The sequence below is a fragment of the Homo sapiens genome, chromosome 11 (genome assembly GCF_000001405.40).
Source record: "Homo sapiens chromosome 11, GRCh38.p14 Primary Assembly".
NCBI lineage: Eukaryota > Metazoa > Chordata > Mammalia > Primates > Hominidae > Homo > Homo sapiens.
In genome coordinates this window covers 114587164-114599557 of record NC_000011.10, presented here as the reverse complement: position 1 = coordinate 114599557, position 12394 = coordinate 114587164, and the positions used below count along the sequence as shown (strand labels likewise).

At 39.8% G+C, this 12394-nt stretch overlaps 2 protein-coding genes across 14 annotated transcripts in view; one reads left to right on the top strand and one right to left on the bottom strand.

The window, feature by feature from the left end:
• NXPE2 (neurexophilin and PC-esterase domain family member 2) overlaps positions 1–12394 on the bottom strand; it is a 349427-nt gene that overhangs the window by 214145 nt on the left and 122888 nt on the right. The window lies entirely within an intron of this gene.
• NXPE4 (neurexophilin and PC-esterase domain family member 4) overlaps positions 1–12394 on the top strand; it is a 107660-nt gene that overhangs the window by 78693 nt on the left and 16573 nt on the right. For 5 of the 12 annotated variants that reach the window (XM_047427150.1, XM_047427148.1, XM_047427151.1 and 2 more), the window contains exons 3-4: positions 3864–3966; positions 4789–4894. In XM_047427150.1, coding sequence (XP_047283106.1) covers positions 4799–4894 — 96 coding nt within the window. In that variant the 5' untranslated portion in view covers positions 3864–3966; positions 4789–4798. Of the gene's footprint in view, positions 1–3009; positions 3307–3771; positions 3967–4788; positions 4895–12394 lie in introns of those variants that run through there. The other 7 variants (NM_017678.3, XM_011542882.3, NM_001077639.2 and 4 more) reach the window with 3 other exon arrangements.

Here is a 12394-nt window from a genome sequence, read left to right as displayed (position 1 = left end):
TTCTTTATAAATTACCCAGTCTCAAATATTTTTATAGCAGCGTGAGAACAGACTAATACAGAAAATTAGCACTGGGGAGTGGAACACTGCCATAAATATACCTGAAAATGTCAAAGCAACTTTAACTGGATAACAGGCAGAGGGTGGAGGGCCCAGAAGAAGACAAGAATATAAGAGAAACTTTGGAACTTCCTAGAGACTTGTTAAATTGTTGCCACCAAAATACTGGTAGTGATATGGACAATGAAGTCCAGTCTGAGGAGGTCTCAGAAGGAGATGAGGAACTTACTGGGAATCGGAGTAAAGGTCAGTTTTGTTATGGTTTAGTGAAGAACTTGGAGGCACTGTACCCCTGTCCAAGGGATCTGTGGAACTTTGACCTTGAAAGTGATGATTTAAGGTATCTGGGGGAAGAAATTTCTAAGCAGCAAAGTGTTCAAGAAGCAGCCTGGCTACTTTAACAACCTATGCTCGTATGCATGTGCAAAAAAAAGATGTAAAACTGGAAATTATACTAAAAAGGAAGCAAAGTATAAAAGTTTGGAAAATTTGCAGCCTGGCCATATGGTAAAAAGAAATGGTCATTTTCAGTGGAGGAATTCAGGAAGGCTGCAGAAATTTGCATAAGTAAAAAGGAGCCAAATGCAAAAAGAGTGCAAGCCATAAGCCTTGGTAGCTTCCACAGGGTGTTAAGCCTGCAGGTGGAGACAATGGGGAGAAGGCCTCAAAGGCATTTCAGAGAACTTTGTGGAAGCCTCTCCCATCACAGACCTGCAGGCCTAGAAGGGAAGAATGGTTTTGTGAGCCAGGCCCGGGGCCCTGTCACCCTGCACAGCCTCAAAACACTGGTCCCTGCATCCCAGCTGCTCCAGCTCCAGCCATGGCTCAAAGAGGCCCAGGTACAGCTCAAGCCATTGCTTTAGAGAGTGCAAGCCATAAGCCTTGGTGGCTTCCACAGGCTATTAAGCCTGCAGGTGCACAGAGTGCAAGAGTTGAGGCTTGAGAGACTCTACTTAGATTTCAGAGGATGTATGGAAAAGCCTATATGTCCAGGCAGAAGTCTGCTGCAGGAGTGGAACCCTCTAGATAACCTCTACTAGGGCAGTGTGGAGGGACAATGTGGGGCTGGAGCCCCCACACAGAGTCCCCACTGGGGCACTGCCTAGTGGAGCTGTGAGAAAAGGGCCACCATCCTCCAGACCCCAGAATGGTAGATACACTGGCAGCTTGCACTCTGCACCTGGAAAAACCAAAGGCACTCAACACAAAGCCACAGGGGCAGAGCTGCCCAGGTCCTTGGGAGCCCACCCCTTGCGTTAGTGTGCCCTGGATGTGAGACATGGGGTCAAAGGAGATTATTTTGGAGCTCTGAAGTTTAGTGACTGCTCTTCTGAGTTTTGAACTTGCATGAAGCCTGTAGCTGCTTTCTTTCTGCCAATTTTTCCCTTTTAGAATGTAAAAGGGAATTTTTTTACATTTACCCAATGCCTATAGTCCCATTGTATCTTGGAAGTAACTAACTTGATTTTGATTTTACAGGCTCATAGGTGGAAGGGACTTACCTTGTCTCAAATGAGACTTTGGACTTCAGACTTTTGAGTTAATGCTGAAATTCACTAAGACTTTGAGGGACTGTTGGGAAGGCATGATTGTATTTTGAAATGTGAGAACAATGATTGTATTTTGAAATGTGAGTGTAGATTAATATATATTCCAAAACAATTGTTATTTATTTTGTGGCTCAAATTGTTGCAACTTTGGTCATCAGGAGCTCTTTCAGGTTAGCTTCTGGGCCATTTTGACATGTACCTCCATTTTTTAAAAGGCATTTCCTAGCACCCCGAGATGCTCCAGGCTCATTTCATATCCCCTGACAAAGTGATGGAATCAACCAGCCACTTCTCCAAGAAATTCTGGCTCCCTTTACTGGAGAATTAAGAAACCAAGGTCTAGGCACTAGGTGTCATTGCTTCTAGGGCTTCTCTATGGACAGAGCTTGAAAATATACATCTGTGTGCATGAACCCATGTATGCATAAAAATGCATATTTATCCATCAAAAAACTGAGTGCATACTGATTATTCTAATTCCAACTGAATATCACAAGGTTAATTTTAATATACCCATTACATTTTCTTGTTTATAGTTTCTTTCTCCGAAAATATTTTCTATCTGATTCTTTACAGAAAAAGTTTGTCCACCCCTGGTTAATATCATTCAGATTTCAGATCACTGTTCATATATTTGAATTTAAGAATATATTGACAGTTTGCTATGTTCCACTTCTTTTTTTCCTCCTTTTCCTTCTATTGGGCTAATCAAACATTTTTTATTATTTCATTTAATCTTCATTGTTGATTTATTATGTATACCACTTTTTAAAAGAAATATTTAGTGGTTATACCAGGGTTACAATATTTTTCTTAATTAATCAGAGTCTATCCTTCAAGTAATATTATCCCAATTCACACATGGTATAAAGACTTCAAGATAGTTTTTCCAACTTCCTAGTTTTCATTCTTTGTGCTTATGTTGTTATACATATACACTATAAACACACAGTGTTAGAGATCAAAATGAAAGGAATCTTGGATTCAGCCCTGTTTCAAAGCTCATCAGATGACCTGCACAAATCATTCAAACTTTCTTTTGTACTCTTGGTTCTTTAAGTCAAGCATATCTATTGTGCCTACCTCATAAACAGACTCCAGGTTAACATTAGATTTCAAAATCTATGTGACCAAACCAAATTAAAATCTATAAATCTATATGTCTCAGAGTAGACTGTGAACTTGGGTGGTTGCTGGCATCAGTCCTCTAAGGAACAGCCAAACCAAACCCACTGCAAATACTTTTTTCTTATTATAGGCTCCTCAGTGAAAAATTTAACAATCCTACACCCAGTTTTATAATGTTAAAACAGCTTTTCCAAAGGTCATCAAGTAAAGACATAAAGAAGTATTGTTAAGGTGAATTTGGTAGAACAGGATCAAAGATGTTGGAAGAATTTCAAGATCTGAAACAAGTAGACCAGTTGTGAAACTGGTCTTGATTCCATCTTTTTAAAAACATAAGACTGGAAAGATTGATGGGCATGCTTAAATAAGATGGAAAGATGATGGGCATGCCCTCCTGTGTAGGGCAGCAGTAATCAACCCATGGACGGAGCCACAGGGCCAGCAGCTACTGCTTCCTGTGGGCACTGGTGCAGCTGTCTGGGTGCCTGCTCTTTCCAGCACTGTTTTCATCAGATCAAGAATACAAATCCCAGATGGATTCAAACCCATGACTACAAGCTGTCACTCTGTTAGTCTCAGATGCAATTAATATTATTGTCTTCCCTATGTTATATTTGAAGTTCTTTTAGTTCAATTCAGCAAATTGTATTGAAACCTACTATGTATGAGATAATACGCACTTGAATCCTGCCAACTGGGTCTTGATGATAACGCTAGATGGAAACTAGAAAGTTTGACTTTCTGTTGATGATTACTCTCAATCATTCAAACTTGTGGCTCTTTTTCTCATCAGTTATTTATTGTAACTATAATATTTATCAAATTGTATTAACTAAATACAATTATTTATCAAACACTCTTTTTCTCATCAGTTATTTATTGTAACTAGAATTAGACTTATAAAACTTCAGGAATTTGAAATCATATAACCTACTATGCAGAGCACTTCATTTCTCCTTCCTACCTCTGCTTGAGCTAATAACTACAGTTTGTGATCCAGGCCCCTCCTTAAGGTGGAGCTGACGTGGCTGACACTTCTGTCTTAGCTGAAACAAGCAGAAGGTTGTGAATCCATGCTAAAGGTAAACAAACTGCAACTTATATCTGCAATTTATTTTGGTATAGACAAGAGGTATGCCAGTAGCACACTGGTGGCTTCAGAAGAAATTCTCAACACCTAGCTCGCCAGAGAGTCTATGTATGGGATTGAACAATCTGTAAACTAAAGGTATGAAAAAATTTGTAAAATTGGGAAGGTGAGGGAAAGGTGTGACATTTATTTTTGGGTGCAGAAACATCTAATGCCCATGTATAAACTAGGGATCTGGGGTGAAAGGTGCTTCTAGGGGAGGGTAAATTTTGAGGGATGGAAAGTTTTAGAAAGGCAGCATTCAAGCAATCTGATGTTAAAGTTTAAAGTTCCAAGTTAAAAGAGAACTTGGAATTCCGGTGCAAAGAGAAATGTTAAGATGAATCATGGAAAAATACTGATAAAGCCTGAAATTTTTTTAAGTAAGAAATGTTTTAAAATAATTCTTTTCAAGCTTGAGGGGGTGCTAGAAAGCCTGCTAAAACAGAAAAGGAGGACATATTAATAGATTGGCATTAATGAAACAGAAAAACTAATTTGCATTCAACAGGCACTGTAATGATGTGGTTCTCAGTGTTAATATTTGCTGGAGTATTTTGTGTCTGCCCTTGAGTTTAAGGGAATAGAACAGGGAACCTGATAGGTGACAAATAGTCTGGAGACTTCATCTAGACACGAGCAAGCTTGCATCCTTCAGGCCCTTAAGCTGCTCGATTTCTTAAAGATCACAGTGGGCTCCATGAATTATCTGTTCTGTAGAATGTACAAGCAGATAGCTAAAAGAGAGCACCTGGGAGATACCAAGTACAGCTTGCGGGGGTGAAGGTTTATTTCTGGGAGTTATTTATCTGAGGCTAAAAAGTAATCATGAGCCAAAAAAATTTCAAATGTTTCCCATGTTTGTTTGCTTTTCTGTTTTGTTGTATGTTTTTGTGCTTGTTTTTGTATTGTCTCTTGTAGGATCCTAATCATGAAAATAAGTATGATAAATTATAAGTCACTATTGGCACTGTTGTTTATATTAGCCTCCTGGATCATTTTTACAGTTTTCCAGAACTCCACAAAGGTAGGAAATGCTTTATTTATGTGGTTTACAGAAGCTTATTTTTGCTTATTACCTCATCTGTTCTAGGAAAGGCTAAACTACAAGACTTGTAGATTATAGGAGGGGAGTTTGAATAGCTAGATACCAAACAACATACCTGATAATCATTAAGCAATATGTGAGAGGATAAATACTGTGTGTGTGTTCACACATACACATTCTTTCTTTGTCACAAATAAATGCATTGCACCTATCTTCTTCAATGCTTAGCTCATCTTTTTACTTTCTTTAAGGGAACATCTGAAGAACAGAATATCTATATTTTTGGTTTTCATTTGTTTGTTTTTAATTTTTAATTTTTGTGGGTACAAAGTAGGTGTATGTATTTATGGGGTAGATGAGATATTTTGATACAAGCATATAATACATAGTAATCATATCAGGGTAAATGGGGTATTCATTGCCTCAAGAATTTATCCTTTCTTGTGCTACAAACAAGACAATTATACTCTTTTAGCTATTTTTAAATGTAAAATAAATTATTGGTGATTGTAGTTACCCTGTTATACTATCAAATGCTAGATCTTATTCATTCTGTCTAATCATATTTTTGTACTCATTAACTAACCCCACTTCTCCTCCATGCCCCCACCACCCTTCCCAGCCTCTGGTAGCCATCATTCTACTCTCTAACTCCATGACTTCAATTATTTTAAGTATTAACTTCCACAAATAAAAACGAACATGCAAAGTTTGTCTTCTGTGCCTAGCTTATTTCACTTAACATAATGACCTTCAGTTCCATCCATGTTGTTGCAAATGACAGAATCTTGTTCTTTTTATAACTGAATACTACTCCGTTGTGTATATATACCATATTTTCTTTATGTATTTGTCTGTTGATGGACACTTAGGTTGCTTACAAATCTTGGCTATTGTTATCAGTGCTGCAATAAACATGGGAGTTCAGATAGCTCTTGGATATACTGATTTCCTTTATTTTGGGTATATACCTAGCAGTGGGATTGCTGGATCATATGGTAGCCTATTTTTAGTTTTTTGAGAAACCTCCAAACTGTTCTCTATAGTGGTTGTACTAATTACATTCCCACCAACAGTGTACAAGTGTTCCCTTTTCTCCACATCCTCACTAGCATATGTTACTATCTGTCTTTTGGATAAAAGCCATTTTAACAGGAGTGAGATTATATTACACTGTAGTTTTGATTTGTGTTTCTCTGATGATCAATGATGTTGAGCACCTTTTCATATACTTGTTTGCCATTTGCATATCTTCTAGTAAGTGTCTATTCAGATCTTTTGCCCAATTTTTAATTGGATTGTTAAATATTTTTGCTATAGAGTTGGTTGAGTTCCTTGAATACTCTGGATAGTAATCCCCTGTCAGATGGATAGTTTGCAAACATTTTCTCCCATTCTGTAGGTTAACTCTTCACTCACTTGATTGCTTCCTTTGCTGTGAAGAAGTTTTTAGTTTTATATAATCCCATTTGTCTATCTTTGCTTTTCTTCTCTGTGCATTTGAGGTCTTATCCAAAAATCCTCTGGCTACATCAGTGTCCTGAACAGTATTCCCTAGGTTTTCTTCTAGTATTTTCATACTTTGGGTCATGCATATCAGTCTTTAATTCATTTTGTAACTGAGTTTTGTATATGGTGAGAGAAAATGGTCTAATTTCATTCTTTTGCATATGGATATTCAGTTTCTCCAGCACCATCTATTTTAAATACTTTTGTTCCCCCATTGTATGTTTTTGATGACTTTGTCAAAAATCCAGATGGCTGTAAATATGTGGATTCATTTCTGTGTTCTCTATTCTGTTCCATTGGTGTATGTGACTATATTTATGCCAGTATAACACTGTTTACTATAACTTTGTAGTATATTTTGAAGTCAGGTAATATACTGCCTTCAGCTTTGTTCTTTTTGCTCAGAATTGCTTTGGCTATTCTGGATCTTCTTTGTTTCCTTACAGATTTTAGAATTGTTTTTCTATTTCGATGAAGAATATTATTGGTATTTTGATAGGGTTTGCCTTGAATCTGTAGATTGCTTTTAGTAGTCTGAACATTTTAACATTTATTCTTCTAACCCATTAACATGGAATATCTATTTTGTGTGTGTGTGTGTGAGTGTGTGTGTGTGTGTTCTCCAATTTCTTGCATCAATGTTTTGTAGTTTTCATTGTAGAGATCTTTCACCTCTTTAGATCAATTTATTCCTAGGGTTTTTGTAGCTACTGTAAATGAAATTGCTTTTTTGATATTTTTTCAGGTTGTTTGGTATTGGTGTATAGAAATGTTACTGATGTTTTTATGTTGATTTTGTATCCTGCAACTTTACTGAGTTTTTAAAATCAGTTCTGACAGTTTTTCACTGAAGTCTATGGAGTGTTCTAAATATAAGTTTATGTGGTCTGCAAACAGGGACAATTTAATTTCCTTCTTTCCAACTTGTATGCCCTTTATTTATTTCTCTGACTTAATTGCTCTGGCTAGGACTTCCAATACTATGTTGAATAAAACTGGAAAAAGTGTTCAAAAATATCTTGTTCCAGATCTCAGAAGGCTTTTGACTTTTTCACATTGAATGTGATGTTAGCTGTGGATTTGTTATACATGTTTTTTATTGTTTTGAGGTACATTTCTTCCATGCCTAATTTGTTGAGATATTTTTATCTGAAGCAAAGTTGAATGTTATCAAGTGTCTTTTCTATTGAGATGATTATATGATTTTTGTTGAATGAGAAGGGGCCACCTGACAAATGGACTTTCAAAAAATTAGGGACATAATATACCCTGGTCAATATCTCAGATAATCCTTGCATCAAGGGCTGTCAGTCCAGACATCTCCTGTTCACCTACAGATTTGTAGGCCACTACTTTTAGCAAACATCATACAGGGGCCTGGAATTCCATGAGGGGGCATGGAATTTATTGTTTTGAGGTATATTTGGTGAAGGATTTTAAGGACTTTCCATTGGCTGGAGGCTGGAAAGTACAGCTTGCCATATTCTGACTGTAGTCATCCTGAGGGCTGGAAAGTATACCCTCGAGAAATGGCCCATTCTATTTTTGCAGGGGAGTACTGAGGCTTAATTTCTTTTATGAAGCCTTCCCAGGTTAGAGGGGCTTCAAGTTGATGTCATGAGGCTTTCTTGCTGCTGACTTGGCTGCCTGATCTGCTAACTTGTTTCCTTCAGCTATTTCATTTGTTCCCTTCTGATGTCCCTTACAATGCATTACTGCTACCTCTCATGGAAGGAAAACTGAGGATAATAACCTGTTAATTTCCTGGTGGTAATTTATAGTAGATTCATTAGTAGTAAGAAAGTGTCTTTCCTTCCAAATGGTAGCATGAGCATGGAGAATTAAGAAAGCATACTTGGAGTCAATGTAAATGTTAGCTACCTTTCCCTTGCTTAATTCAAGTGCTCTTGTAAGAGCTGTCAGTTCAGCTAGTTGAGCACTTGTGCCTGGATAGAGAGGTGCACTTTCAATAACATCATTCAGAGTGACTACTGGATATTCTGCCTTATGGACTTCTTGCTCTACAAAAGAACTGCCATCTGTGAAGATGGTCCAGTCTGGATTTTCCAGGGGAGTTTCCCTGAGATCCTCCCTGGCTTCATAGATCTGTACCACAACTTGCTCACAGTCATGTTCAGGTTCCCCAGTTTTCTTGGGGAGGAAAGTGGCTGGGTTTAGGCAAGAACAAGTTTTTAACAGAACTGCTGACCCTTCTAACAGCAGAGCCTGATATTTAAGGAGCCAACGGACTGTTAGCCAAAGGTTCCCCATAAAAGACAGCAATCCTGCTACATTGTGTGGGGCATAAACAGTTAAACCATTTCCCAGGGTTAATTTGATGACCTCCAGTACCAGTAGGGCCAATATGGCAATTGCTCAGAGGCATGCTGGCCATCCTTTACCTGCAAATCAAGTTTCTTACTCAGGTAGCCCACTAGTTGTTGAGCTGGTCCTCAGGCCTGAATTAAAATTCCCATGCCCATTCCTTTCCTTTCTGATACATAAAGATTGAAGGCCCTCCCTACAGAGGGGCTGAGGGCTGGTACCTTAAGTAAGGCTTGCTTTCACTGGCTAAAGGCCTTTTGAGCTTTAGGTTTCCAGGTTAGGAGATGAATTTTATCCACTTGAGTTTCTTTTATGAAGTGATATAGAGGATGATCTATCTCACCATACCCAGGTATCCATAGCCTGCAAAATCCTGTAATGCCCCAAAATCTTGTCAGTTGCTTGAGGATTTTAGGGAGGGGGAAGGAGGAAATGGGCTTAATTCTTTCTTCCCCTAATGCTCTGGTCCTTTCAGAAGCACTAAACCAAGGTACTTTACCAAGGTTTTGCAAAGCTGGGCCTTAGATTTTGAAATCTTATATGCTCTGTCAGCTAAGAAATTAAAAAGAGTTTCAGTGCCTTCCCAAGAGGTTTCCTCAGTTGGGGCACAGAGCAGTATATCATCCACATATTGCAAGACCCTGACCTGAGGATGGGAAAACTCAGAGAGGTCCTTTGACAATGCCTGTCCAAACAAATGAGGGATTATCTCAAAATCCCTGAGGCAGCACCATCCATTTTAACTGGGCAGTTTGGCCAGAAGCATTCTTCAAAGGCAAACAGGTATTGAGAGTCAGGATGTAACAGTATGCAGAAAAAGGCATCCTTTAAATCTAAGACTGTAAACCATTTAGTTCCCTCAGGCATTTGGATTAGCAAGGTATAGGGATTAGGTACTACCAGATGGATTGAGACTATGGCCTCATTAATGAATCTCCATTCTGCATTGGGTTTTTGTGCTCCTAATATTGGGGTGTTGTAGGGACTGTTACAGGGTTTAAGGAGGCCCTGCATCTTCAGGTTATTAATAATGGCTTCTAGCCCTTTCTTACCCTCTGGCTTTAGGGGATATTGTCTCCGATTAGGAAAAAAGTGGGATCATTAGGATAGATCCAGACTGGCATAGTGGTTACAACTCAACCTATTCTTCCTTGAGTTGCCCAGACTTCTGGATTGATATTAGCTTCCACTAGAGGAGAAAAAGAGTTTTTCCTGGGGCTATAAGTATGCTGGCCCACATGCAAGCTAGAACGTCTCTACCTAATAAAGAAGTGGGACTTTCAGGCATGATTTAAAAGGCACATGTAAATAATATGTCCCCCCAACTGCACCTAAGGGGTTGAGAAAAACATATCAGAGTGTTTATGAGACACCCCACACCCCTCATGCTATGGGAAAAGGGGAGGCCTCGATTATAGAGGAGAAAAGAGGCTGGCTCTGGTGTCCAGAAGGAGGTCCACCTTCCTTCCTTCAGTTTCCAGAATTACCTGGGCCTCCTGTGCTGTAATGGGAATTTGAGCCACTGGAGCCAGGGCTTGAGCACCAGGACCCATCAGTCCTGCTGGACCATCTTTGAGACTGGTTCTGAACCTGTTGACCTTCATCTCTGGGGGCAGTCTGATCACCAGTGGTCCCCACCACAGGCTAGAGAGGGTCGAGGTGGCTTCTTCTTGCTTCCTGGATATCCTTTTTAAAGTCCTCTGACTTCCCACATCAATAGCAACTCGCAGATGCACCTCAGGGATCCCAGACTTTGCAAGCCTGCAAAGCAGCTACCAGAGCCTCAGTCCTTCTCTTGTGTTTCCTCTCTTTTTCCTGGGTCTCCTCCTGGTCCCTACTATAAAAGACTAAGGTGGCCACCCTCAGGAGGTTCTCCAAAATGCTATCTGGCCCTATAGCCTACTTCTGTAGTTTCCTTCTAATATTGGGAGCTGCCTGTGTAATAAACTTGTCATTTAGGATGAGCTGTCCCTCTACTGAATCAGGGGACAAGAAGGTGTGTTTTATTAGTGCTTCTTTCAGCCTTTCCATAAAGGCTGTGGGATTCTTACCTGGATTTTGGTCTACCATGGACAGTTTAGAGTAGTTAAGAGGTTTGGCCTTAGTTCTTCATAGGCCCCCCAATATGCACATTAAAAAGTGTTTCCTTTTCTATTCATCTGTGATGTCACTGGGGTTCCAAACAAGGTTGTCAAGAGGTAGTGCCTCTCTTCGTATTGGGAATGATGGCTCCCCTATTTCTTCATTTTCTCTATATTCTTTTTTCCCTTTTGGCCTACTATAGGAGACATATTGCTCATCTTTGAATTTCTCCCCTGCCTGCAGAGCTGCCTGTTTTTCAGCTGCAGTTAGGGTTTGGCTTAGGAGCAGCATAACATCCCTCCATGAGAGGTTAGACACCTGAGTTAAATTTTGGAAAGCTTTTATATACTTATCAGGGTCATCAGAAAATTGGCCTAAGTCTCCCTTTATTTGTCTAAGATCCTGCAATAAGAAGGGAACCCTAGTGACATCACCTCCATTGAGCATTTCCTGTAAGGATAAGAGTGAAGCTAGGGGAGTGGGGAGTTTTGGAGATGGTGGAGCTAAAGGACCTGATGGCACAGCTGGAGGGGGCCCCAGAGAGGGAGGACAAGAAGGGCCTGGACACTCAATAGCTGCCTCAGATAGTTCCCTGGAGGTTGCTTCTCTAGTTTTGGGGAATCATTCCCTTTGGGCCCTCCTGATATGACTGCTGAAAGAGCTGAGCTGATTGTGCAATGCTTGCAAAGTTCTGGGTTGTCTCACAGGGCAAAGAAAGCCTGTACCTAAGAGACCTCTGACCATTTGCTGTCCCATCTACAGAAAATATCTAATTGTTGGATAGTATTAAAATTAAGGCTCCCCTCTGCAGGCCAGGATGGTTCAAGATGGTAAGAAGGCCACACCCTTATGCAAAAGAAAATGAGCCACTTTTTCTTCAGTCTCAGGGTCAAAGGAATCCCAGTGCTTCAGAAAGCACTCCAGAGGAGTGCAGACCAAAGATGGTCTGTTATTCATCTAGAAAGAGAAGCAAGAAAAAAGGTGTCCCTTTAGTCACCTTCGTTTCCTTTGGAAAGGCCTAGGGTGGAGGGGAAGACAGTGGGGGCATCCCCCCAACTGTTTTCCCTCCTTGGCGCCCTGAGCCCTGGCATCTTTTAAGGTGCCATCCATTGATGCAAGCATAACCCATAGCAATGAAACCAGAGGAACCAATGGATTGGGATTAGTCATGCTCACCCATGTGACTCTAGTCCTTTGCTGGTGATTTCCCTTTGACTTTCTAGACTTGTGTGATCTGCATGACTCTCCAATAGATGGATCTTGAGAGAGACTTCGTTACAGTTACATTTGGGTAATGCCCTTTAATAGAGAATGCAGGTTTGAGCTGTACAATTTGCTATTATGTCCTGTACTAAAGTATTTATTCTTAGGCAGTGGCTCTGGTTAACTTCCGGAATTAAATTCCTCTTACTATTTAAGTACCATTTTAATTGGAGGCAGAATAGGTGCCTTAAAAGAACGTAGGAACCAAATGGTTGTTTTCCTGCTGATGGGACCATGTTCAGACTAAAATTTGGTTTTGGAGGACCTTTTTCCCCTCATTGTTGAAGACAGAGTTTTCTT